Raw genomic sequence first — 27,653 nt, 5'->3', positions numbered from 1 at the left:
ATGGTGAACACCTGTGGTCCCAGCTACTCAGGAGGCTGAGGTAGGAGGATCGCTTGAGCCCAGGAGGTCGAGGCTGCTCCAGCCAGGGAGACAGAGTGAGACTCTGTCTCATAAAAAGGAGTATCTAGAGATATTTAAAACCATAGGGCAGGTTAATGAGACCATGCAGAGATTCTGATTTAATTGGTGTGCAGTCGGGCCTGGGCAGAGCCAATCTTAAAAGCACCCATGTAATTGTAATGTTGAGCCGCAGGTGAGGTCTGTGTCCAGCCCACAGCTTGCTCTACACAGGCCTCAGATGAAAGCTACTCAGAAGAACAACACTCAAGCTGCTCAGGTCTGTTTGGACACATGGGGATGAAGATGGAGCTGGGGGGGCATCCCCTGCCATCTTCTCACAACCCAGAGAAAGCTGACTGGTGGGGAGGGTAGAGGAAGCTAATGAGAGCAGAGGACCCAGGGAGCACTTACTAGCACACCACTGACTCCCCAGGTAGGGTTGCCAGAGAAAATACAATCAAATCAGAATTTTTGGTAAATAATGAATAATTTTTAGTATGTCTCAAATATTGCATGGAGCATATACATACTAAAAAATTATTATTTGTTGGCCAGGCACAGTGGCTCACGCCTATAATCCCAGCATTCTGGGAGGCCGAGGTGGGTGGATCAATTGAGGTCAGGGGTTCGAGACCAGCCTGACAAAAATGGTGAAACCCCGTCTCTAATAAAAAAAATAAATAAAAAAAAAATTAGCCAGGCATAGTGGCACACTAATCCCAGCTACTCGGGAGGTTGAGGGAAGAGAGTCACTTGAATCTGGGAGGTGGAAGTTGCAGTGAGCCGAGATCACACCATTGCAATCCAGCCTGGGCAACAAGGGCAAAAAATATATCTATTATTTGTTGATCTGAAATTAAAATTTAATTGCGTAGTCCCTATTTTTATTTGCCGAATGTGGCAATTCTATCCCCAAGACAAGGATCCAATGGGTTCGGCTCATTCCCATCCAGTTCAGCAGCTTCCAGACCAAAGGGACTATTCTCTGCCTCTGCCTCCTCCTCTCGCTCCTGTCTCATCCCTAGTCTGGCCTGACCAAGAGCAGGTCAGTACAGGCACCGGCTCCCTCTCACCCTGCTGACCGGCCTTTACATGAGAACAGACACAGGGGTTTCTGTCACAGGACCTAGGCGGAAACACTCAGCCTTCCGCTCCAAACACACTCACTTCTTCATTCAGTGACTATTTTTTGAGCACCTACTATGTGCCAGGCGCTGTTCTAGCCAGAGGGATAAGCAGTAGACAAGTCAGACGAGTTCCTGTTCTCTGGGGGCCTCTGTTCCTGCATTTCAGGTTGAGGAAAAGGACAATAACCCAGAAAACGACTGTTGAAATGGTGATGACAACAGTGAAAGGACGTGGCAACAGTGACTGAGACCAACTTGAGATGGGGTCTGGGAGGGCCTCACTGAGCGGGTGACGTTACTTTGAGTTGAAGGACTGGCAAGACCCAGCTACATAAACACATAGGGAGGAGTCTTCTATCGGGTAGGGCTCCAGCACGTCTGGCCGATTGGTGGGACTTGCCAATTCCTGTGGTGTGAATACTCCATCCTAGCCAATTCCGAGCTAGGCACATGACATGGCAATTTTAAGAAAGCTAATATTTATGTATTTATTTATTTACTTTTTTGAGATAGGGTCTCACTCTCACTTTGTCACCCAGGCTGGAGTGCAGTGGCACAATCACAGCTCACTACAGCCTCGACCTCCCAGGCTCAGGTATTCCTTCCACCTCAGCCTCCTGAGTAGCTGGTACTACAGGTGCACACCACCACACCCGGCTAACTTTTTTCGTAAAGATGGGGTTTTACCATGTTGCTCAGGCTGGTCTCAAACTCCTGGACTCAAGCCATACTCCCACCTTGGCCTCCCAAAGTGTTGGAACTACAGATGTGAGCCACCGCGCTTGGCCAGAAGCTAACATTTTAAATGGTTTTGGACCTTAGAGTGTGAGGGCCAAATGGCTGTATCAAGATCCTACTCGCATGGGGTTTTTCCAGGCTATAGGCCTCAGTTTCTTCTCCCCATCCATCTTCTCTGCTCATTCACTGCAACTTTTGATTTTTAGACAGGGTCTCACTCTGTCGCCCAGGCTGTAGAGCAGTGGTACGATCTCCAGGGTTCAAGTGATCTTCCCACCTCAGCCCCCTACCTCCCGGTAAGTAGCTGGGACTATAGGAGTGCACCACCATACCCAGGTAAGCACTGAGACTTTTGAGAGGCCCTTTCGGAAATCCAGGAAAGGCAGTCTTGCTCCTTTTTGCCCCACAACAACATTGCCTCCCTGTTTCCTCTCTTAACATATTCCTGGCTGAAGAAAAACTGACTTTAAAAACCAAAGTCTTAGGCCGGGCGAGGCGGCTCACGCCTGTAATCCCAGAACTTTGGGAGGCCGAGGCGGGTGGATCACGAGGTCATGAGATCGAAACCATCCTGGCTAACACGGTGAAACCCCGTCTCTACTAAAAATACAAAAAAATTAGCCGGGCGTGGCTGCGTGTGCCTGTAGTCCCAGCTGCTGGGGAGGCTGAGGCAGCAGAATGGCGTGAATCCGGCAGGTGGAGCTTGCAGTGAGCCAAGATCGTGCCACTGCACTCCAGCCTGGATGACAGAGCAAGACTCTGTCTCAATAAATAAATAAATAAATAAATAAATAAATAAATAAATAAATAAACAAACAAACCAAAGTCTTGCCAGGCAAGGTGGCTCATGCCTGTAATCCCAGCACTTTGGGAGGCCGAGGTGGGCAGATCACCCGAGGTCGGGAGATCAAGACCATCCTGGCTAACACGGTGAAACCCCGTCTCTACTAAAAATACAAAAAATTAGCCAGGCGTGGTGGTGTGCGCCTGTAGTCCCAGCTACTCGGGAGGCTGAGGCAGGAGAATCGCTTGAACCCAGGAGGCGGAGGTTGCAGTGAGCCGAGATTGTGCCACTGTACTCCAGCCTGGACGACAGTGCAAGACTCTGTCTAAAAAACAAGCAAAACAAAGAAAACACAAGTCAAAGATACTTGGCTCCCTCCTATTTCCATGAAGATGAGCTCTGAGGATCAGTGGATCCTGCAGCCATCAGCCCCTGTCCTGGATACTGCCATGCAACTCAGTTATGCCTCCCTTGTTGTGTCCCAATTCTATTTTTTTCTTTTGTGTGTGTGTGTGTTTGTGTGTGTGTGTGTTTTGTTTGTTTGGTATTAGATTCGAGGTTTTTTTGTTTGTTTGGAGACAGAGTGTCGCTCTGTCACCAGGCTGGAGTGCAGTGGCACAATCTCAGCTCACTGCAGCCTCCTCCTACAAGGTTCAAGTGATTCTTCTGCCTCAGCCTCCTGAGCTGGGACTACAGGCATGCACCACCATGCCTGGCTAATTTTTGTGCTTTTAGTAGAGACGGGGTTTTACCATCTTAGCCAGGCTGGTCTCGAACTCCTGACCTTGTGATCTGCCTGCCTCGGCCTCCCAAAGTGCTGGGATTACAGGTTATAGGTACAAGCCACTTCACCCAGCTTTTTTTCTTTTCTTTTTTTTTTTTTTTTTTTGAGACAGGGTCTCACTCTCCCAGGCTGGAGTGCAGTGGTACAATCTCAGCTCACTGCAACCTCTGCCTCCTGGGTTCAAACAATTCTCCTGCCTCAGCCTCCCAAGTAGCTGGGTTTACAGGCATGCACCACCACGCCTGGCTCATTTTTTGTATTTTTAGTAGAGACTGGGTTTCACCATGTGTGCCAGGCTGGTCTCGAACTCCTGACCTCAAATGATCCACCCACTTCAGCCTCCCAAAGTGCTGGGATTACAGGCGTGAGCCACCGCACCTGGCCTTTTTTTTTCTCTTATTTTTAGACACAAGATCTCACTCTGTAACTCAGGCTAGAGTGCAGTGGCTCAGTCATAGCTCACTGGCAGCCTTGAACCCCTGGCTTCAAGCGATCTTCCTGCCTCAGCCTCCCAAAGCACTAAGATTACAAGCATGTGCCATTGTGCCCCAATTTTGTTTTTGGTTTTGTTGTTGTTGTTGTTGTTTTGAGATGGAGTCTCGCTCTGTTGCCCAGGCTGGAGTGCAGTGGTGCAATCTCAGCTCACTGCAACCTCTGCCTCCCAGGTTCAAGCAATTCTCCTGACTCAGCCTCCTGAGTAGCTGGGATTTCAGGCACCTGCCACCATGCCCGGCTAATTTTTGTATGTTTAGTAGAGACGGGGGTCTCACCATGTTGGCCAGGCTGGTCTCAAACTTCTGACCTCAGGTGATCCGGCTGCCTCAGCCTCCCAACGTGTTGGGATTACAGGCGTGAGCCACCATGCCCGGCCCACCCTCCCAATTCTAACTTAAGTGACAACAGATAACTCTGCCCAGTTAAGGAGCCTAGAAACTGATCTTGACTGTCAATACCTGCAGTCTGCCATACTGCAGAGGCAACTGTCTGAGCCAGGATGAGCTGCAGCGGGGGAGGGAGGCAGGTGAAGGAAAGGGAACCAAAAGCCACTCAGCCTGGATGCTCCCCAAATACCTCCCTGACCCCACAGCCTGCACTTCTCCTCCTCCTGGCCCTGGGGCTTGCAGTATGGAGTGGGGTGAGGCATTGGCGAGGACCCCCTGTGACCTTTCTGCCTTCTGCCAACCCAGTGGTCTCCGCAGGCAGAGGGTCATACATGAGCAGCTGCTTGCCCAGTCTCCTCCTGGCTGCCCTCCTATCTCTGTTCCCCCAGCTCTCTGCCTGGCAGGGAAGACCTCCTAGAGTTAAGTGGATTTCATGCTATTTTCAAAGTCATTTTTAATGGAAAAATTTTTTTTTTGACGGAGTCTCATTCTGTTGCCCAGGCTGGAGTGCAGTGGCACGACCTCAGCTCACTGCAACCTCCGCCTCCTGGGTTCAAGTGATTCTCCTACCTCAGCCTCCAGAGTAGCTGGGATTACAGATGCCCGCTATCACACCTGGCTGATTTTTGTATTTTCAGTAGAGATGGGGTTTCGCCATATTGGCCAGGCTGGTCTCGAACTCCTGACCTAGTGATCCACTCGCCTTGGCTTCCCAAAGTGCTGGGATTACAGGCGAGAGCCACCGCTCCTGGCCACATGGAAAAATTTTTATACCATTAAACCTACTTTCTGCTGCTTCTTATCTAAAACCTTCCCTCCTCCTCTTCCATGAGATAAACTAGCAATGGGAACACTTACCAACCCACTAGTGACACCCTACAGGTAACCTGGGTGTCACTGGCTGGGGTTGGGGAGAAGCAATCACACTAGGAGAAGGTTCTGGTGAGATATCAGGCCAATGAAAGCGGACAGCCAGGGGCAGGAGCAGGCTTCCCTGCACACACTCTCAGGGCTTTGCTTCTCAGCCTTCCAGCCCCATCCTGACAACTGCCTGGTGGCACGAGCCCTGTCCCCTAGCTTCCCATCCTCCTGTGACAGCCACCAAACTGGAATGGGTCTTTTACAACAAGTGACTAGGGTCACCTGAGGGGCAACTGAGGCATTTCCCAGAGACTCCCAGGCAGCCGACACTCAAAGAGCTGGCTCATTCTCGGAAAATAGGCCACAAGGTACCAGACACAGATCAGCCAGCATAGGCTTCCTGTGAGCCTGCTGCACTTTTTGCCCATTCCATATGGAAGCCTCTATCACACTGTGTCACACCACGGCTGCTGCAAACTGAGGGCTTTGTGAGGACAAGAGTTGAATACAAACGGCTCTGTCTCCTCAGCTCACAGCTCAGCCTCTCAGAGGCTGCTAGATAGGAACCTATTATATCTGCCAGATCCCTTGTGAGCAGGGCCGACACAGCCCTTGGCCAAAACTTGTCCAGTAGCCTCAGGTGTGACCTGGCATGAAAGCTGTGCTCAGGGGAAAGGATGGGACAGGGATGGGCTGGACCAATGGAATTCTCTTCCCTGTGATTACCCAGCAGTGTGCAACCTTGTGAAACCCGCCATTTTTCTAGGGTCCTGCTGGGATAGAGGTATGGGAGAGAGAACGTTCTAGGACAACTCTTAGCTTTCTGGACAGTTTAACTAAGAACCTGATGCTGCAGAAACTGGGGTGAAAGATACTCAGAGAAGTGTGTCCCAGGGTAATGGGGGGGATGAGCCCAGATTGGCAGGCAGTGAGAATGAGGCAATGGTGGGACATCCAGGAGTGGCAGTTGGGATATGAGGTGGCTGCTCAGGACCCAGAAGCCACCAGCAATGCCCTGGGGCCTGAGTGCTGGACTCCAGAGAAACATTTGGGGAGCAGCTTATGTTGATCTCCACCAAAATCCTCTTCCTCCAGGGGATAAATGTGGAGATAATTTTTTTAAATTATTCAATGTTTCACTGGATTTTTTTGTGGGGGGAGGTGAAGCTTTTATATTTAAGATTGTTAAATCTTAACATCATCTGAGGTCAGGAGTTCAAGACCAGCCTGACCAACATGGTGAAAACCTGTCTCTACTAAAAACACAAAATTAGCCAGCCATGGTGGTGCACACCTGTAATCCCAGCTACTCAGGAGGCTGAGGCAGGAGAATTGCTTGAACCCAGGAGGCGGAGGTTGCAGTGAGCCAAGACTGTGCCACTGCACTCCAGCCTGGGCAACAAGAGCAAAACTCCGTCTCAAAAAAAAAAAAAAAAAAAAAATTGTTAGAAGAACTTGTTACATTACAAATACACAGAATGTTGGAAGAAGATGCAAAGTTAACCTCACATTTTTTTCTTCCTTTATTCACACATTGTTCATTTCACTGGACTTTCTACACTGCATCAGAGATAGAAAATGGTGAAGAAAAATACAAATAAGTTCAACAGATGTTGATTTCAAAAATCAGCATGAAGTATTCTTAGCAAATACGGTCACCACTTGGTATCCCTGCCTTTCTAAGCAGATTAGAAAGGAAACAGCTTTTCTACACAAGAATAACTTATCCATACTTATGAAACCTTTTCCAAATCTATAAATATTGATATACCATTTTTTATCTTAATTTCTTCCAACAGAAGCTAAAATTTCTGCCTGTGAGTTCAGGGCTCAGGGCTAGCCTCTGGCAAAAACACCTTTCAGTCCTGGGACAGGAGTGTCTTTAACCTAGAGGGTAACCTTGAACGACAGTATCCATGGGTATTGACTTCCTCCTAGAAAACAGGAATCAGACTCCCAGAGGTTCTGAAACTGGGCTTATCTAACACTATGTGCAGGATACTATCCTATAGGCATTACTGTAATCCCATCTTACAGATGGAAAAAGTGAGGCACAGCAAGGTTATGTAACTCATCCGTGTGCATATACTACCTCTCCAATGTCTCAGGTTGGAGTCAGCAGGTGTGAATGGGGCACTGGAATTCACGCTCCTAATAAGTTCCCACGGAGACTGCGATCCAGGTGGTTTTTAGACCCCGCTGTGAGATACTCCTCCAGGCATCAGAGGATTTGCTCTGGTTTGAGAGTTCAGGCAAAAGAGCAAATAGGAGAATCCAGAACCCCGATAAGGGTAGTTCTCAGGAAGTTGCTACCACCCTGGATGGCCAAAGCAGTAAGGCGGATACACCGGGGGTTGGGAAATCAGAGCCGCGTGCGGATTGGGAACCCAGAGAGAGACTTTGTCTGTTGCTGCACCCGATTGCCATCTGCTGGCTATATGTGGCTATTGCAGGCCAGATGGTAACATTCCCAGTCCAACCCCTCCATCAAATGTCAAATGGTTACATTGGTGGTGGGGCTTCAGTGAAGACTCCAGGGCTCAGTACAGAGCCTCAACAATGCCACTTGTGGGAGGGAGAAAAGAATGCAGGGGGAAAGGTCAGTCTGAATGAGGGTTGGTGGGGAGAAATAAGCCGGAGAGGAAAGTAGGGGCCAGAATCAGGTGGGCCTCAAAACAGTTAGGATTTTGTACTGAGGGCCAACGGGAAATCCAGCAGTGAGTCAGACTTTCAGTAGGATCATTCTGGCCTGTCAGGAAGAACTAGGATAGTTTGAGTGGAGGCAGAGTCAGTTTGAAAACTGTTCCAGTATCAAAGATGAGGAACAGATGCTGGTATAGATTAGGGGGTAGCTGTGGGGATGCAGAAAAATGGTCCACAAGAAATATGGAGGAAGGGGGATTATGTCTGATAAAACCAAATCCCAAAGGAAAACAGCAGGAAAGGGATAGAGACCCCATTTCACTCATTCCTTCTTTCAACACATTTTAGCACCTATGATGCCAGGAACGAATCTACCTGCTGGGAACACAGTGGTGTGAGCAAGTCAGGGAAAAGCCCAGATTTTCATGGAGCTTACATTCTGCTGGGGAGGTAGGCAATAATCAAATAAACAAATAAACAAGAGAAACATCAGATGGGAGTAAACACCATGAGAATGAAAACTGTGGTGTGATGGTGACCCTCAGAGATCTGAATGGTAAGAAGTCTGCCATGTAAATATGACAGGGAAAAGCATTCTAGACCATAGCAGCAAATGCAAGGGCCTTTAGAGCAGAAACAAGTGTTCAAGACCAGAGGCAGCTGGTATGGTTGTAGCGTGGTGGGTTAGGGCCAGCATGGAGCAAGAGGCAGAGTCAGGGACAGATTGTCTGGGCTTTGTAAAGCAGCACAAGGAATTCTAGGAGTAAAGGGAAGCCACGGACACATTTTAGGCAGGAAAGTGAAAATCCGATTTCATAAACTCTCTCACTGCTCTATGGAGAATGGGTTGTATAGGGGCCAGGCATGGTGGCTCACGTCTATAATCCCAGCACTTTGAGAGGCCGAGGCAGGCAGATCTCTTGAAGTCAGGAGTTCGAGACCAGTCTGGCCAACATAGTGAAACCCCGTCTCTACTAAAAAGGCTAAAGTTAGCCAGGCATGGTGGCACGTGCCTATAATACCACCTACATGGGTGGCTGAGGCATGAGAATTGCTTGAACTCAGGAGGTGGAGGATGCAGTGAGCTGAGATTGTGCCACTGCATTCCACCCTAGGTGAGAGAGAGAGACTCTGACTCAAAAAATAAATAAATAAAAATAATGGGTTGCAGCACTTTGGGACGCCGAGGTGGGTGAATCACGAGATCAGGAGTTCAAGACCAGCCTGGCCAAGGTGGTGAAACCCCATCTCTACCAAAAATACAAAAATTAGCCAGGCATCATGGCAGGTGCCTGTAATCCCAGCTACTTGGGAGGCTGAGGCAAAGAATTGCTTGAACCTGGGAGGTGGAGGTTGCAGTGAGCCAAGATCACATCACTGCACCCCAGCCTGGGCAACAGAGCGAGACTCTGTCTCAAAAAATCATAAAAATAATGGGTTGTATAGGGGTATAGGGGCAAGAGTGGAAGCAGGGAAGCAGGGAGATGGGGTAGGAAGCTGTGATGTGGGCCAGGAGAGACAATGGCAGTAGAGTGGAGAGAGGGTTCTGGGTATCATTTGGAGTCAGCGTCAATAGGACTTGCTGATGGATTGGATGTGGGGTGAATAAAAAGCAGAGGCAAGAATGACTCCCCAGGAGCACAAGGATGCCAGCCACTGCAGGAAACCCAGACAGAAGAAGGGCCTACGGGAACTTCTTCCCTAATGATTCCTCCCTCACCAAACAGGCAAAGGCCTGGGCTTAAAGCTCCCATTACATCCCTGCTGCTGCTCATTACAGCAGGCTGCCCTCACCCTTGTCCCACCAGACAGAGGGAGCATGCAAATTAGCCACTCTAAGGCTGTGTCCTTAGAGTGTCCCAGTCACAGGACTGGGCCTACCTGCCCGAGCACATTGCAAGGACTAAATAGAATGTCTGGCACAGACTTGACTCCAGGTGCTGGCCTGGCCTCCATGGCCCAGGGCCAGCCTCACAGTGGGCCCCTGTCGAGCCAACCTGTGGTGGCAGCAACCCCTTCCCCACCTGGGAACGCCAGGTTTCTCCCATGGGAGGGAGGGCATTTCCAGGTAGCCAGAGCCCCACCCTTCAGCTGGAAAAGCACCCAAGGTCACTTCTAGATCCAATTCAGAGTCCCCAGAATAACTCTTTTCATCCCCCAAGCTCTAGACCTGAGTGCATCCCATCGAGAAAGAGAAGGTCACTCTTGTCCCCTTAAGCCAAAGGGGAGCATGGGAATGGGCAATCACATCCTGGCAAAACAAATACCAGAGACCAAGCACTGTGGGCACTGCATCACTTTATTTCTTTGGTTTTCAAACGTTACTCTCGAACAAGGCAAATTCAGTCTCCCACCTGCCTGGCCGCTTTGTGATCTCTCACTGAAGATGGGCCTCCAGCTCCGAGAAGACGCTCAGCAGAAAGGTGGAATCCCCAACTGACAGCCAGGCTGGCCGAGGACTGCAGGGTCCCAGCAGGTGGATCAAGCACCCACAAGCAGAGACTCTGGGCCATAATCTGCAAACAGAGCCTGCATCTCCCAGCCTTGCCCCACCTGGTCCCACACTCCTTGCAGGGGACAGGCCAGCCCCTCAGTGATCTCCAGTGCCTCAAGATCTCCGGTGCCTCAGTGCCATCCTTTAGAGGCCAGCTGTGGTTCTTTCTATACATCCCTGCTGCTGCTCCTGCTGACCTGGCACCTTCTCCCTTGGGGATGCCAGGCACAAGCTGCTGATCAGCTCTACATTTGATTTTCTTTCTTTTTTTTTTTCTAAGAGATGAGGTCTCACTACATTGCCCAGGGTGGTCTCTAACTCCTAGCCTCAAGTGATCCTCCTGCCTTGGCCTCCCAAAGCGCTAGGATTACAGGCATAAGCCACCACACCTGGCCCCCATATTCGAGCCTAATGTTCCTTTGGGAAACAACTGAGTAAAGAGGATGCCAACCCCCAAAAGAAACTGAAGATAACGTTCTGCCCAGTGGGACCGATGATCATGCTATAACACTCCTTTTGTCTCCAGGAAAAGCTGAAAGCAGCTCTAGCTAACCAACCCCCCTCTAAACCCCCTGACATACATACGGCTTCCAACTCCAGCAAGGGGGCCAACCAACCCACTCAAATCAAAACCAAAAACTAAATCATAACAGTAAAAATATGACCAGCAAACAACGAAAGAGGATATCTCTGGTCCCACAGTTTCCTACGGGAGACCAGATGGCTGATTTCTGGCATTCTCTGTCCTGGAGCCAGAAAATAACACAAATATACCCTTGGACTTAGGGTAGACACTGTGGGACCCAGAGCAAAGGACATCCTGGCCAAGCCTGGGGTCAGCTCAGGTCCCTGACCCTCTCCAAACTGGTCCCCCTTCTTCCCAGCCCCTTTTGTACCTCCCTGTCAGCCATCTACCAGGGTCAGGCCGTCATAGAGGGCTCGCTTCCACATGTAGTATGTGGAGCGGGCAGTGAGGGGAAAGAGGGCACTGAACTCCTTGTAGGAGGGAAAGCTCTTGGACTGGAAGCGCTTCTGCAAGAACAGCTTGGCCTGGGCCTTGAACTTCGTGGTAGCGATCATGTCCATCACCAGCATCCGGCCATCCCTGCCACCCGCTGCTGCCACCACAGGTTGGCTCAGCAAGGGCCCACTGTGGGGCTGGCCCTGGGCTGTGGCCCCCTCCTGCAGGGCCCCCTCTCTGGAAGGCCCTCCCTCTACATCTTCTGAAGAAGCCCCCACAGGTGGGGCCATCACAGCTGTCACATCCCTGCCAGCCTCCTTCTCCTGCTTCTCCTCAGCCTCCTGCCCCCCTTTGCCCAAGGTGGGGACCGGCACCTGAAGTTTGGACAGGCCTCTGGGCCAACCCCGAGCAAGACTCTTCCAGACCCAAAAGGCAGAAGGTGACAGGCTGGGGTAGCGGAGGCGGAAGCGGCAGAAAGGGAGATGCCCACTCAGCACCTGCCTGCGGGCAGCCCTGCGCAGACGCCTCTGCCAACGGGACAGGGGCATCCTTAGTGGCAGGAGCTCCCCGGGGGCGGGAGGGTCCTCACCTGTGGCATTCCCTGCCCCCTCTTCCGCCTCACTCTTCCAAGGAATTACAGCCCCTTCCCCAACAGATGCTAGCTGGGGAGTCCCAGCAGCAGAGAGGGCTGGTGCCGGCTTGAAGCTGGGGTTCCTCCGGAGGGCCTTTCGCCGCCAATTATAATAAGTGGACCGTGAGATGCCAGGGAACCTGCGTTTGAAGCAGCGATAGGGTACCAGTGTGTTCAGGGAGATGCAATGCTCCAGGTACAACTTGGCCCGCTGCATTAAGACCATTCCAGGGCTTGACACCGCCAGTGCGGAGCACTCCAGCTCCTCCTCAGCCACCTGCTCCTCCGGCAGCTTCTCTAGCTCCTCCATGCCCAGCACCTCCCTGGGGGGCAAGGCCGGGCAGGTGCCAGAGCCCAGCAGCTCATGCTTCCAGGCATAGTAGGTTGAGCGGGAGATCTCCGGGAACCGCTGGAGGAACTGCTGAAGTGGCACGACGCCCCCCCGGTGGAAGCTGTCCTGCAGGAAGTGCTTGGCGGAGAAGCGGGCAGCAACCTTCTGCCGGTGCTCCTGGGACTGCCGCCGCCAGCGGTAGAAGGTGCTTTTGGTGACGCTGTAGCGCTCACAGAGGTGAGAGTAGCTGAGGCCAGGTTCACGGTTGAGCAGCTCCAGGGTCTTGGCCGGCGATGAGAGTGGGGCCAGGGCTGGAAGAGCTGGGGCCACGCCAGGGGCACCTTCAGCCTCCACCTCTTCCAGCCCCACCACAGGGGCAAAGTACTGGTGGCGGAAGAAGTGGCTGGTGAGGGGCTGGCCAGCCCACATGATGTGCAGCGTGGAGGGCACGTGGTCGCAGCGGCGGGGCCGGATGACACGGTTGAAGTAGGGCCGGATCTTGAGGTTGCGCATGGGGTAGATGGAGTAGATGTTCCGCTGGAGGACAGAGGCGAGAGCATACAAGTGCCACACGTTGGAGAAGCTGCTGGGGAAACAGGAGGCCTTGACGTCGGCATCGAAGATGGCCTCCAGCGTGGCGGGGGGCAAGCTGGTCATCTCAGGGGACTCCTCAGAGCATAGGGAGTAGCGCACGGCCTGCAGCATCACTTTGGAGTCGATCATGCCCTGGAGGTAGTAGTGTCTGTGCAGCAGCATCTCTACCACGGTGCGGGCCCGCAGCTCCAGGCTGAGGCCTGCGTCACCCCACAGCAGCATGCTGGCCGCCTCGAACAGCAGGCTGCCCTCCCCCTTGCACACCAGCGGCAGCATGTTCCGTGGAGCATCTTCTGGATACAGGCTCAGGGCCACCGAGTCCACTTCCAGCACCTGGAGGCCAGGGCCTCCCTCCCGGCAGGTGGGGAGAGTGAAGGAAGACAGGACCTGCTTGGCCTCCAAGGAAGCACCTATGAGACCCTCCAGGCCTTCGCACTCCACTGCTTCCTGCAGCTCCTGCAGCACCTTCTGCACCAGCTGGTTCCGAGAAGTCATCCTGCCAGGGCAAAAGATAAAGGGGCAGTAGTCAGGTCGAAGTGCCCAGATGATGACTAGCAAAGGTGCCCTGTCCACTCCTGCACTTTCTCCCAAAAGGTAATGTCTATCTGCTCCCGTCCTCCCACAACAGACGGGATTGGTTCATCACTGAATGGTACTGAGGAAAAGTGTGGTCTCTAGAACCTGGCTTTGAATCCTGGCTCTGACATAAGCTTGGTCACCTTGGATCACTTAACCTCTCTATGCTTCTGTTCATTTTCTATAAAATGGGAATGGTGTGTTAAAATCTGCTTTATAGGCCAGGCACGGTGGCTTACACCTGTAATCCTAGCACTTTGGGAGGCCAAGGCAGATGAATCACTTGAGGGCAGGAGTTCGAGACCAGCCTGGCCAACATGGTGAAACCCCATCTCTACTAAAAATACAAAAATTTGCCAGGCATAGTGGCAAGAGCCTGTAATCCCAGCTACTCTGGAGGCTAGGGCAGAAGAATCACTTAAACCCAGGAGGCAGAGGTTGCAGTGAGCTGAGTTAGAGCCACTGCACTCCAGCCTGGGCAACAAAGTGAGACTGTCTCCAAAAGGGAAAAAAAAATTAATAAAATATGCTTGAGTTGTTCTGGGCATAAATGAGACAATAAAGAGATGTTGGCTGGGCGTGGTGGCTCATGCCTGTAATCTTAGCACTTTGGGAGGCTGAGGTGGGTGGACTGCTTGAGTCCAGGAGTTCAAGACCAGCCTGAGCAACATGGCAAAACCCCATCTCTACAAAAAATACAAAAATTAGCTGGGCACAGTGGCATGTGCCTATAGTCCCGGCTACTTGGGAGGCTGAGGCAGGAGGATCATCTGAGCCTGGGAATCCGAGGCTGCAGTGAGCAATGCTCGCACCACTGCACTCCAGCCAGGGTGACAGGAATGAGACTCTGTCTCAGAAAAAAAAAAAAAGAGAGAGGCCAGGTGCAGTGGCTCATGCACTTTGGGAGGCTGAGGCAGGCAGATCACTTAAGGTCAGGAGTTTGAGGCCAGCCTGGCCAACATAGTGAAACCCCATTGCTACTAAAAATACAAAAAAAAAAGTTAGCCAGGCATGGTGGAATGCACCTGTAATCTCAGCTACTCAGGAGGCTGAGGCACGAGAATCACTTGAACTTGGGAGGTGGAGGCCGCACTGAGTAGAGATCATGCCACTGTGCTCAAGCATGGGTGACAGACCGAGACTCTGTCTCAAATAAATAAATAAATGATGCTATTTTTTTTTTAAAGAAAAGAAAGAAAACCGTTATCCTTAAGTACATGTCGTTTTCAATACTGGGTGTAATCAAATGGGGCATACTTATAACACGCTTGCTGCAACCCGAGGTATGATGAATGTCTCCATTGGATGATTGTTCTGCTTTTCTGATAAATTAGCTCCCTTTAGCATGATATACAATTTTTACTTGAAAGAAAGTCTAATAGACACTGGTCATTCAGATTTGGATATATTTGGCAGATATTTTCTCAAAAATGAATGAAGTGAGACTGTAATTTCAAGGGAAACAACTATTTGCTGCCCATAAAAACTTATCAGCTTCCATCTGAAAATCTCAATTTTTCTGATGAGATCAGTGGTGACAATTTTTTTTTTTTTTTTTTTTGAGACTGAGTCTCGTTCTGTCACCCAGGCTGGAGTGCAGGGGCGCAATCTCAACTGGCTGCAACCTCTACCTCCCGGGTTCAAGAGATTTGCCTGCCTCAGCCACCCGAGTAGCTGGGATTACAGGCGCATGCCACCATGCCCAGCTAATTTTTGTAATTTTAGTAGAGACGGGGTTTCACCATGTTGGCCAGGCTGGTCTCAAACTCCTGACCTCAAATGATCTGCCCGCCTCAGGTTCCCAAAGTGCTGGGATTACAGGTGTGAGCCGTCACGCCCAGCCCTAACAAATATAATTTTTTATGCTGTATAATGAATTGTCAATTGTTTCCACTAAAGATCTACATCACTCAGTGAACATTTTCCAAATAGCCAATGGGTGCTGTTACAAAGTCATGCACTTGTAGAAGAATCATTCAAAGTATAAAAGAAACCCATGGGGCTGGGTGTGGTGGCTCACACCTGTAATCCCAGCACTTTGGGAGGCCGACACGGGCGGACCACGAGCTCAGGAGATCGAGACCATCCTGGCCAATGTGGTGAAACCCCGTCTCTACTAAAAATACAAAAATTAGCCAGGAGTGGCAGCACATGCCTGTGGTCCCAGCTACTCAGGAGGCTGAGGCAGGAGAATTGCTTGAACCCGGGAGGCAGAGGCTGCAGTGAGCCAAGATTGCATCACTGCACTCCACCCTGGGGACAGAGCGAGACTCCATCTCAAAAAAAAAAAAGACCCATGGATTTTAATATAACAGGGTACAAAAAGTTCATGGATATGGTTTCAAATTCCACATTATAACTAAGCTTTGAGAAGCTACTACTTGTAAAGTTTTGGTATAATATCAAAAAAATCCACTGAAAAAGTGATCAAAATACTCCTCCTTTTTCCATCTATATATCTGATGAAGTTAGATTTTCTTCAGATGCTTCCACCAAAACAATATATCAAAACAGATTGAATATAGAAAGATATGAGAAAGTACTCATCTTCTTTTAAACCAAATACTATGGAGATACAGAAAAATGTAAAATGTAAAAATGTAGAATAATGTGCTCTCGGACATTATTTAACATTTTTCCAAGTCTCCATAGTATCTGGTTTAAAAGAAGATAGGCCGAGGCAGGCAGATCACTTGAGGTCGGGAGTTCAAGACCAGCCTGGCTAACATGGTGAAACTCTGTCTCTACTAAAAATACAAAAATCCATCCTGGCTAGCATGGTGAAAGCCCGTCTCCACTAAAAATACAAAAAATTAGCCGGGCACGCTGGCGGGCGCCTCTAGTCCCAGCTACTCGGGAGGCTGAGGCAGGAGAATGGCGTGAACCCGGGAGGCGGAGCTTACAGTGAGCCAAGATCACGCCACTGCAGTCCAGCCTGGACGACAGAGTGAGACTCCATCTCAAAAAAAAAAAAGTAGTTTTTTTGCTCTGGAAATGTCACTTCTCATAAAAATGATTATTTGTTACTGTATAACAGGCTTTTTAAAATTTATTTCTTATTTTTAATTTTGTGTACAATATACACTGGTAGATATAACCTATATAAACAAAAGGTTTTCAGGGTCTGCAGACCGTACAGGAGTCCTGAAACCAAAAAGTTTGAGAAGTGCTGCCCCAGAAACAGCCTTTCAAAGGGGTAGCAACAATCTATTCACTGCACAAAGATCTAATAACTATGATTTACTGAGCATTTACTATTTGCCATGCACTGTCCTAATCCTGACACTAATACTTTAAGTACTACCATTATCCCCAATTTACAGGTGAGGAAACTGAGGCAACTGAAGTTAACCTAATTTGCCCAAGGTCACAATACAAGTTAGTTGAAACCAAACACTTTTTTTCTTTTTTTTTGAGACAGAATCTCACTCTATCACCCAGGCTGGGGTACAGTGGCTCATTCTTTGCTCACTACAACCTCCGCCCCCAGGGTTCAAGCGATTCTCCTGCCTCAACCTCCAGAGTAACTAGGACTGTAGGCACATGCCACCACGCCCAGCTTATGTTGTAGAGATGGGGTTTCACCATGTCCGACAGGGTGGTCTCATGGTCTCAAACTCCTGACCTCAGGTGATCCACCCACCTTGGCCTCCCAAAGTGCTGGGATTACAGGCGTGAGCCACCATGCCTGGCCCCAGATGCTCTTTAGGGTCTGTGATTCATCTCCTGTTCAAACCATTAACCACCTTTTAACACAAAACTAATCATCTCAATTATTGGTATGTTTTTATTGTTCAGTTGCAAAGCAGAGTGGTATTCCTTCATAGACACTTTTTACATTAGGGGAGGGACCATTATCCTTTCTGGTTTCTCAGATCATGTTCTCAAATTAAACTTGTTCTCAGAGTTCAATAAATTGCTTTAGATGACCCTTAGGTTTAAAAATGGTGTTTGGGTATATACATTTTTCAGATCAAACTGTACGCTTAAGGCCAGGCGTGGTGGCACACGCCTATAATCCCAGCACTTTGGGAGGCTGAGGCAGGAAGATTACTTGAGCATAGTTCGAGGTTACAGTGAGCTATGATCACGCCACCGGACTTCAGCCTGAGCAACAGAGGAGACTGTCCCCAAAAAGCAAAACAAAACAAAAAAGCTACATTTGAAAGGAGTGGATGAATGCAAATTGTAATTTAGTAAAAATGTTTTAAAAAATTAAAAGTAGGGCTGGGGCGCAGTGGCTCACACCTGTAATCCCAGCACTTTGGGAGGCTGAGGCAGGTGGATCACGAGATCAGGAGTTCATGACCAGCCTGGCCAAGATGGTGAAACCCCATCTCTACTAAAAATGCAAAAATTAGCCAGGTGCAGTGGCAGGTGCCTGTTATCCCAGCTACTCGGGAGGCCGAGGCAGAAGAATTGGTTGAACCTGGGCAGCAGAGGTTGCAGTGAGCCGAGATCGCCCACCGCACTCCAGCCTGGGTGACAGAGTGAGACTCCATCTCAAAAATAAAAAATAAAACATAAATAAAAAAAATTAAAAGTACTGAGGCCGGGCATGGTGGTGGCTCAGGCCTGTAATCCCAGCACTTTGGGAGGACGAGGCAGGCGGATCACAAGGTCAAGAGATCAAGACCATCCTGGACAACATGGTGAAACCCTGTGTCTACTAAAAATACAAAAAAAAAATAATTAGCTGGGCATGGTGGCCCGCGCCTGTAGTCCCAGCTACTCGGGAGGCTGAGGCAGGAGAATCACTTGAACCCAAGAGACGGAGGTTGCAGTGAGCCAAGATCGCACCACTGTACTCTAGCCTGGAAACAGAGCGAGACTCCGTCTCAAAAAAAAAAGTACTGAGGGAACAGCCACCAGAATTTTACTTGATAACCAAAGAAGGAAAGTCGTTTAAAAATTGGTAATCAGCCCAAGTGCAGTGGCTCATGCCTGTAATCCCAGAACTTTGGGAGGCTGAAGTGGGCAGATAGCTTGAGCCCTAGGAGTTAGAGACCAGCCTGGACAACATAACATAACCCCATCTCTACGGAAAAAAAAAAATTAGCCTGCATAGTAGCATGTGCCTGTAGTCCCAGCTACTCAGGAGGCTGAGGTGGATAACCTGAGCCTCAGGGGACTGAGATTATGCCACTGCACTCCAGCCCGGGTGTCAGAGTGAGACTGTCTTAAAAAAAAAAAAAAAAAAAAAAAAACCTGGTAATCAGAATCACCTTTGGACAAAATTTCTAGGCTGTGGATTTCTTTAAAATGTGTATATTATAACAAATCTGGTATAACCTCTCACCATATTTCTATTTGTACCATATCATTTAACTCTAGAAGTTGGCTTTTATTAATCTGTCAACTTTTATGCCTTTTATATTTACTTTAAAAAGAAAACTATTACTTTTCTTTGGATTCAGGAGATAATCCATATCAGTCCTTAGTAAAGACAGCACTTAACATTATACAATTTTTAAAAAAGGAATCCTGAAGAACAAACTGTGTACACACAGACAAGCTTTTTCATTTTGGCAGACAATGATGTCAACAAGCAAGACGTTGGGTTTTTGTTTTTCTTGCATTATGTCACTTGTTGAATGCTATTTTACAACTGCATACAAATGAGTGCTCTGCTAGATACTTTGTAAACAAAATTAGGAAAATAGCTACCATTTACTGACTGCTTCCTATGTGCATTTAACTAGGTAATTCAACCAAAATCTCAGGAAAAACAAGAGGGAACAATATACTGAAGCTGTGTGGATATTTTTATACCCTTACACGCAATTAGCCGATTTCCTGAGGAGAGCATGATGTTCCCTGAAGTGTTAACAAGTATCTGCCAGCTTTTCACCCTCAAGCATTTGGAGTTCAGGCTTTTCAGTGGTAATTTTGTTTATATGTGGTTCTCACCTTCCTTCCATGTGAACTACAATTCCATCACACCTACGCTATCTACAGGATCCCTAGTCCGAGTTCACACCTGGAGGTTCCGGGTTTACATTAAGTAGCTTTCGCAAGACCACACAGCTTTTAAAAGCTACAAAGTCTAAGCAGCCTGACTCTCAAGCTCCCTTTCTAAGCACTATAATTCCATCATCCAAAATTCTCATTATCCAATGGATCCAGAAACTTATGGATTTTTAGGACTTTAAGACAAACCTGGCCATTTTACAGATAAGGAAATTGAGGTCCACAAAGGTAGAGTCGACTTGCCTGAATTCATGCAGCAGTGTCCAGATACCTTCCAACACAACGTCCAGATATGCCACACTTCCTCTTGCACAGTCCCCACCTGTCCCCACCCTCCTCGTCCCACCCTATCTACTCTTCCCAGGCCCAGTTCCACCCGGCTCCACCCAATTTCATTCCTTTCTCTTCCCCAAAGAGGTAGGAGGTACAAGTATGTGATACCCCACTTCTGGCTTCCTCAAAAGCTTAAGGAAAAGCAGCTCCACACTCACTCCCAACCCACAGATGGATTCGCCCACCAGAGAATAGGGCCGTGTGGAAAGGGTAGGGGCTGCACGGGGAAGCCTATCACTCTTAAGTAGACAATTGATGATGGGGTTCAGGTGCAACAGTCTTTTTGGCAATGGCTCTCTTCCTAGAAGTGCAATGCAAAGCAGACAAGCCGGTTGCCAGGTGCATTCAGGGAAGGAGGTGCAAAAAGTGATAGCTAATCTATGGACTTTGCCCAGCTGGCCTGCCCTGGCCCCCACAACTCTTGGAAGTGATCTGAAAAGGTATGAAACCAAGGAGGCAAGGCACACTCGGGATTGCACAGGCTCATCCCCTCCTCTTGCCTGAGATTAGAAGGGCGGGGGTAAAGGCAGGACATCCAGAGGCATCCAGCCAGGATCTTAGCTCCAGTAAAGCCAAGGAATGAATGAATGGCCACAGGCTACTCTGCAGGGCACTCACAGCCTCGCCTTCACCAAGGTCAGCCTCCCCGCTCCCCCATTCTTTATTTCAAGCATATGGGGTCTCAGAACCCAGGTCTGGCCTCTTGTCCCCTGCGTCTTAAGAGTGAGCCAGGAATCTGGGTGGGCCAAGGGATGGAGGGGCAAGAGATCTGCTGTTATGAGCCTGGCCTGGTCTTTAGAACAAAATCCTTCCCCACCAGCCTCATTCTGGGCTCTAGCTTACCATGGATCCCATGTTCTCAGCCCTCCCTTTTCTTCCTCTCCCTCCCAAAGCAGGCGCTGTGTTCTCTATAGTCAACCTGCACATGGGCCACCAGGTCTCAGTAAGGCTGTGGGTTCGATTCTCCCCTGGATGGCTGGCTCCTCACCCAGCCTTGCGCCGTGCCTCTCTGCCCTGCCCTCCCTGCCCTGGCCACACCAGCCCGACTGCACAGGCTGCGCCTGCCAGGGCCTAAGGGAGCGCCAGCCATCTTTGCTCCCTCCCCGGTGGCCCTGGAGGCCAGCTGGGCAAGGGCAGCTGCCAGGGTTGGCTGGTGGCAGCCAAGCCTTTGGGCTGTGACTTCCCAAGGAAATTCCCACCACCAAGGGTAGTGGCTGCACCTTGGGTCACAGGGGTGGGCCTGAGGCCACCAAGTCAATCCAGCCCAGTTCAGTTGCTCTACTGGACCACGTGTTTGGAAGGGAGGAAGAGTGCAGCCCACAAGGGGAAGCAGCACAGGCTCCCGGTTGCCCCTTAAGGTGCCAGGAGGCAATGAGTGGCAAAAGAGGGAGCTGGCAGGTCCGGGGCTCCAGGGACGAGGGATCCAACCTGAGAAGCCCGGGGAACCTGGGGAGGGACCGAGGCCAGACCATTGTGTAGGGTGGGGAAGGGAGATAGGCAGACGGGTGGGGGTGGGGACAGGGCTGGAGGTGGAGGTGGGGGTGGGGAGAAAGAGAGCTTGAAACAATGCGTCCTCTCCCTCTACATACACTCCCAGACACACATACACCACAGCATCTTCACGGGGCCACTCCTTGACCTGGGCCCAGTAGGGTCCCGAGATCATCCCTGACCCCGCTGGAGCCTCCAAACTGTACGGGGCACCCCCACCCTTCCTAGTTTTGAGGAAACTCGCTGTTTTACTGACCTGGAGTGTGACCCAGAGCCCTGGGGGCATCCACTTCTCGCTCCACCTTCCAGCCTGGGACATTTAAGTCACCCTGTGGGGAAAGGCCTTCTCAAGTAGCGTCCCCAGCCGAGCTCGTCTCACTCCAGAACCAGTTTCATATCTGTAGAGGACCATTGAGCATGGACCGTCTACAGCCAACTGGCCGGTGGGGAAGCGGCTTAAGCCACTCCCCCCAGGAAATCGCCCACCCTCAAGTGCTCTGTACCAAGATGAAAGAAGTGCAAATTCGGGGGTCACTTCCAATGGTAAAGTGATAGCAGCTATTGTCATCCACTCTCCCCAGCTGGGGGTGTTAAAGTGCCCTGACCCAGCTCTGAAACAAACCCCAAACTGCCCAGAGAAAAGTTGAAAGAAAGTTGAAAGATTTCCAAAGAGTTTGGGGGGAGGGGAGGGAATGGGAGGAGAAGGTTCAGATCGAAAGACCTAGGGGAAGAAAGTCTGTGGCCAGGCTTGCAGAGGAGGTGGAAGAGAGCAAAGCTGGGGCCCAGAAACTAGCTATGGATAATTGCTTAAGAGAAATACCTTGAGGCTCTCTGAACCCTCAAAATGCATCTCTTTGTGAGGCAGCTCTCACCAACCCCAGTCCTGTAAGACAGGCAGAACCAGGCAGACTGGAGAGCTACTCACGGCCCCATCATGGGGCAGTCTCCCTTCCCATCCAGGAAGGCCCCACTTTCTCTAAAGGCTGCATCTCCACCATTCTCTGAGCATCCCCCAGGCTTGGGGCTCAACACCTCTCATTCCCAAAGCAAGCCTGGGCCAGAGCTGCATCTGTTAGGAGCCAGGGGGCCTATCCCAGGGCACCTAACTTACTGAGCCCCACTGAAAGGTGGGGGCACGCAGTACCTGCAGCTTCGGTCCCTCCCCCATGGCTCACCTAGGGCCCAGGGGCCTCAAATAATCCCAGGAGGAACCAGTCCAGCCCCTGCTGATGGGGGAGGTGAAGGCCTCAGGATTGCAGCCTTGGTGGCAGCTTCCCCCCAAGGGGCTTTCCAGCCTGGCTTTAACCCTTTGGAGTGCTGTAGCTAACTGCTTCTTTCCAATTCCACCCACAGCTCCTCCGTGCTGTCTCTCCCCTGACAACCACTGTAAAATGCCCCCATGCATCCATTATGCTCCAGCTCCACTATTATCATTTTCTCCTCTCTCAATCACAGCTCCACAGTTATCACCAAAAGCAAAAATCCTTCACAAAACACCCTTTCCCAGGGGCACTGGAAGAAGAGCCGCCACACTTGAACTCAAGTCCAGTTCCTGCATCTTAATCACACCCGCCCCACCCACCAGGAATGGCAGTGGCCTGAGGCTGTGGCTTAGCGGGTGTCTTGGACTTGGGTTTGAATGCCAATCCTGCCCCTTACTAGAATGTGGCCTTGGGCAAATTGTTTAACCCCTCCCAGCCTGACTTTGTGGTTAATGGGGTATAGCATCTACCCCAGAGAGTCATTGGATAAATTCCACGAGATGATAAAATTTAAAACATTTAGAACTCTGCTTGGTACAAAGAAAGTGTATTCTAGTTCTCAGCCTTTCCAGTTAATTTGAAATTATGTTTAAATTCTTAATATAAATATGCTGTATTTTTAAAGTTTTGGAGAATAGTGGTTATCTCATAGGAGGAGATGGAATTACGAAATACCTTTTCTTTCCACACTATGTTCTCTCTGTGCTGTTTGACATTTTATAAAAAACGTCTGCATTACTTGCTATCATTTTAAAAACCAATGAAGATAATTTAAAAATTTTTAAAAGGCTAATGGAATCTTTCAAAGTGTTTTTTAAAAAGAAAGTAGTGAAAAAACAAAAAGGTTTGTTGGCTTTTCCATTACAAAAGTAAGAGTGTTATTTAAGAATAATTGGGAAATTTTTTTAAAGTAAAGTAAAGGGAAGAAAAATTACCTATAATCCCATTATCTAAAGACAGCTATTGTTAACATCTCAGTATATTTTGTTCTAATCCAGTTCTTTTTTCTTAGAATTACACAAGTTAAGCATTCTCTTTACAAAAGATTGAAATAATACAGAATAAAATGGCCAGGCGTGGTAGTGCATGCCTATAGTCCCAGCTACTCGGAAGGCTGGGGCCAGAGGATTGCTTGAGTCCACAAGGTAGAAGCTGCAGTGAGCTATGATGGCACTGTTGCACCACTACACTCCAGCCTGGGTGACAGAGTGAGATCCTGTCTTAAAAAAAGAAAAAAAAAGAGTAGGTAAGCAAGTCCTTGTTCCACACCCAACACATTCTCCTCACTAAACCTGCCAGTCCTTTTGCTGTGCATTTTCATCTTTCTTTTCTTTTCTTTTCTTTTTTTGACACAGGGTTTCACTCTGTTGCTGCTGGGGTGAGATGGTGGGATCATAGCTCACTGCAGCCTCAAACTCCGAGCTCGAGTGATCCTGCCACCTCAGCCTCCCGAGGAGCTGGGACAACAGGCACACGCCACCATGCCCAGATAAATTTTTTTTTTTTTTAATAGAAACAGGGTCTCCCTATGTTGCCCAGACTGGTCTCAAACTCCTGGGCTCAAATCCTCCTGCCTTAGCCTCCCAAAGTGCTGGGATTACAGGTGCAAGCCACCGTACCCAGCCCATTTTCATCTTTTTATGTGCATATATACGTGTTTATTTTTCTAGTTTCTCTATGGGTATTTTCCTTGCTTTTCTTTTTCTTTTTTTTTTTTTTTTGGAGATGGAGTCTTGCTGTTGTTGCCCAGGCTGGAGTGCAGTGGCACAATCTCGGCTCACCTCAACCTCCAACTCCCAGGTTCAAGTGATTCTCCTGCCTAAGCCTCCCCAGTAGCTGGGATTACAGGCCCCTGCCACCACACCCAGCTAATTTTTGTATTTTTAGTAGAGACAGGGTTTCGCCATGTTGGCCGGGGTGGTCTCGAACTCCTGACCACAGGTGATCCACCCACTTTGGCCTCCCAAAGTGCTGGGATTACAGATGTGAGCGACCATGCCTGGCCAAGGATATTTTTGTTTTATGTTAAGCTATTTTAAAAACATTTTTGACTAAGTAATAATAGGCAGGGTGCAACTGGGTGTTTCACCAACATGGTGAAACCTTGTCTCTACTAGAAATATAAAAATTAGCCGGGCATGGTGGCAGGTGCCCATAATCCCAGCTACTCGGGAGGCTGAGGCAGGAGAATTGCTTGTACCTGGGAGACAGAGGTTGCAGTGAGCTGAGATTGTGCCACTGCACTCCAGCCTGGGCGATAGAGTGAAACTCCATCTCAAAAAAAAAAAAAAAAAAAAAAATAGGCAGGGTGCAGTGGCTCATGTCTGTAATCCCAGCACGTTGGGAGGCCAAGGCAGAAGGATCAGTTGAGCCCAGGAGTTCGAGACCAGCCTGGGCAAACACACCAAGCTCCCATCTCTGCAAAAATTTAAAAATTGGCCAGGCATGGTGGTATGAACCTGTGATCCTACTTACTCAGGGCTGAGGCAGGAGGATCAATAAGCCCAGGAGGTGAAGGCTGCAGTGAGCCAAGGTTGTACCACTGCACTTCAGCTTGAGCAACAGAGCAAGACCTTGTCTCAAAAAAATAAATGAAAAATAAAAATAAAAATTTTACAAAAAGATCAGGATTCAAATTTCAGCTCTTTTCTCTACTACAGTTTCTCTCTCCAGAAGCAGCCAGTATTGTTTCTAGTGCATCACTCCAGAGATGGGTTATGTATAAACAAGCAAGTATCAGAGACAGAGCTTTTTTCCTTTCTTTAAAGCACAAATGGTAGTCTACTATACACTCTTATGCACCTTGCTTTTTTCACTTCATTTTTTTATCCAGAGCCACTACTGTCCAATGAAATTTAAAGAGGGTTACACACATATTTTTACATTTTTCTTTTTTTCATTTTTTTTTTTTTTAGTCAGAGTCTCCATCTGTTGCTCAGGCTGGAGTGCAGTGCCGCGATCTCAGCTCACTGCAACCTCTGCCTCCCAGGTTCAAGTGATTCTCCTGCCTCAGCCTCCTGAGTAGCTGGGATTACAGATGCCCACCACCACGCCCCTGCTAATTTTTTTGTATTTTTAGTAGAGACAGGGTTTTACCATGTGGCCAGGCTGGTTTCGAACTCCTGACCTCAAGTGATCCGCCCACCTCAGCCTTCCAAAGTGCTAGGATTACAGGTGTGAGCCACCATGCCCAGCCACTTTTACATTTTCCAGTGAACACTTTTTTTTTTTTTTTTTTTGAGACAGTCTTGCTCTGTCACCCAGGCTGGAGTACACTGGCATGATCACGGCTCACTGCAGCCTTGACCTTGATCAAGCAATCCTCTCACCTCAGCTTCTCCAACTGGCTGGGACCATAGCTGGGCACCACCATATCTGGCTAATTTTTTTTTTTTTTTTTGTAGAAAGCAGAGTCTTGTTATGCTGTCCAGGCTGGTTTTGAACTCCTGCGTTCAAGTGATCCTCCCCCTTTGGCCTCCCCAAATGCTAGGATTATAGGCATTAGCTACCATGCCCAGCCGGTAAACACATTTTTTAAAGTTAAAAGGAGGCCAGGCGTGGTGGCTCACACCTGCAATCCCAGCACTTTGGGAGGCTGAGGCAGGTGGATTACTTGAGGTCAGGAGTTCGAGACCAGCCTGGCCCACATGGTGAAACCCCCGCATCTACAAAAATACAAAAAAATAAGCCGGGCATGGTGGCGCACACCTGTAATCCCAGCTACTCGGGAGGCTGAGACAGGAGAATCACTTGAACCCGGGAGGCGGAGGTTGCAGTGAGCCGAGATCACGCCACTGTACTCCAGCCTGGTGACAGAGTGAGACTCCGTCTTAAAAAAAAAAATTAATGCGATGTATGTTTTACATTCCTTTTTTGTACCAAGTCTTCAAAATCTGGTGTGTATTTTACACTTAAAGCACATCTCAATTGGGATTAGCCACATTTCAGATACTCCACAGCCACATGTGGCTGGTGGCTTCTATTTTAGCCGAGATAGCATGAACTCCATTTAATGCATGGGCGTGATTTATGGATCCAGTCTTCTACTGATGAACATTAAGGTCATTTCCATCTTTTGCTGATTGAACCATGCTACGGTGGGTAAGCCTGTACATGCATAATTTTCCACATGTACAAGTATAGCCGTACCTTCAAATTGTATGTGTAATAGTAATTTGTATAGATCTTGCAAATTTCCCCACTTAGAAGTTATACCAGGCCAGTCAGGCACGGTGGCTCACGCCTGTAATCCCAGCCCTTTGGGAGGCTGAGGCGGATGGATCACCAAGGTCAGGAGTTTGAGACCAGCCTGGCCAACATGGTGAAACCCTGTCTCTACTAAAACTACAAAAATCAGCTGGGTATGGTGGCATGTGCCTGTAATCCCAGCTACTCAGGAGATTGAGGCAGGAGAATCGCTTGAACCTGGAAGGTAGAGTTTGCAGTTAGCCAAGGTCGCAGCACTGCACTCCAGCCTGGCCACAGAGCAAGACTCTGTCTCAAAAAAAAAAAGTTGTATCAATTTACTTTCCCGAAAACAGTATGAGAGTACAATTTCTCCACCCTGCCAGTATAATGTGTTATCAGAAAAAGTGTTTTATAATCTTTGTCAATCTAATAGGTGAAAAATTATTCCCTCAGTATAGTTTTTTTGTTTTTCTCAGTATAGTTTTAATTTACATTTTTAAATTATGATGAAAGAGCATTTTTCATATATGTAAGAGCCTTTTAGACTGGCGTGGTGGCTCACACCTGTAATCCTAGAACTTTGGGAGGTCAAGGCAGGAGGACTTGAGCCCAGGAGTTCAACACCAGCTTGAGCAACACAGTGAGACCTTGTCTCCACAAAAGTAAAAAAGAAAAAGTTAGCCCTGTGTGGTGTCATGCGCCTGTAGTCCCAACTACTTGGGAGGCTGAGGAGTTCAAGGTTGTAGTGAGCTGTGATCACACCACTGCAATCCAGTCTGGGTGACAGAGTGAGACCCTGTCTCAAGGAAAAAAAAAAAGCCATTTGTGTTTTTTTCCTTTGAATATCCTTTGCCCATTTTCCTATTGGATTATAGCCCTTTTTCTTATTGATTTGTCAGAGCTTTGTACAGTGTGTATATGTGTGTATATATATGTACACATAT

At 48.9% G+C, this 27,653-nt stretch overlaps 1 protein-coding gene across 2 annotated transcripts in view, besides 3 other annotated features; it reads right to left on the bottom strand.

Annotated features, from left to right (window-relative positions):
• Positions 1-10,159: 10,159 nt before the first annotated feature.
• The window catches only part of VRTN (vertebrae development associated), a 57,016-nt gene continuing 39,522 nt past the window's right edge, over positions 10,160-27,653 (bottom strand). Inside the window, exons 1-2 of one of the 2 annotated variants that reach the window (NM_018228.3) lie at positions 21,516-21,697; positions 10,160-13,385 (exon numbers count right to left, since the gene is read on the bottom strand). In NM_018228.3, the coding sequence (NP_060698.2) occupies positions 11,276-13,384 (2,109 nt within the window). In that variant the 5' untranslated portion in view covers position 13,385; positions 21,516-21,697 and the 3' untranslated portion in view covers positions 10,160-11,275. Of the gene's footprint in view, positions 13,386-21,515; positions 21,698-27,653 lie in introns of those variants that run through there. The other variant, XM_011536911.3, reaches the window with a different exon arrangement.
• Positions 11,178-11,756: an enhancer, noted in NCBI's record as "H3K4me1 hESC enhancer chr14:74825115-74825693 (GRCh37/hg19 assembly coordinates)". NCBI's record gives its function as "activates a minimal SCP1, AML or CMV promoter by ChIP-STARR-seq in naive H9 embryonic stem cells {active_cell/tissue: H9 hESC(naive)}" and the evidence as "EXISTENCE:reporter gene assay evidence [ECO:0000049][PMID:30033119]".
• Positions 19,934-20,683: an enhancer, noted in NCBI's record as "NANOG-H3K27ac-H3K4me1 hESC enhancer chr14:74816188-74816937 (GRCh37/hg19 assembly coordinates)". NCBI's record gives its function as "activates a minimal SCP1, AML or CMV promoter by ChIP-STARR-seq in naive H9 embryonic stem cells {active_cell/tissue: H9 hESC(naive)}" and the evidence as "EXISTENCE:reporter gene assay evidence [ECO:0000049][PMID:30033119]".
• Positions 20,684-21,434: an enhancer, noted in NCBI's record as "NANOG-H3K27ac-H3K4me1 hESC enhancer chr14:74815437-74816187 (GRCh37/hg19 assembly coordinates)". NCBI's record gives its function as "activates a minimal SCP1, AML or CMV promoter by ChIP-STARR-seq in naive H9 embryonic stem cells {active_cell/tissue: H9 hESC(naive)}" and the evidence as "EXISTENCE:reporter gene assay evidence [ECO:0000049][PMID:30033119]".

This window comes from Homo sapiens, chromosome 14 (assembly GCF_000001405.40).
Source record: "Homo sapiens chromosome 14, GRCh38.p14 Primary Assembly".
Taxonomy (NCBI): domain Eukaryota; kingdom Metazoa; phylum Chordata; class Mammalia; order Primates; family Hominidae; genus Homo; species Homo sapiens.
The sequence above is the reverse complement of the archived record's forward strand: the minus strand, read 5'-3'. Positions and strand labels throughout refer to the sequence as shown.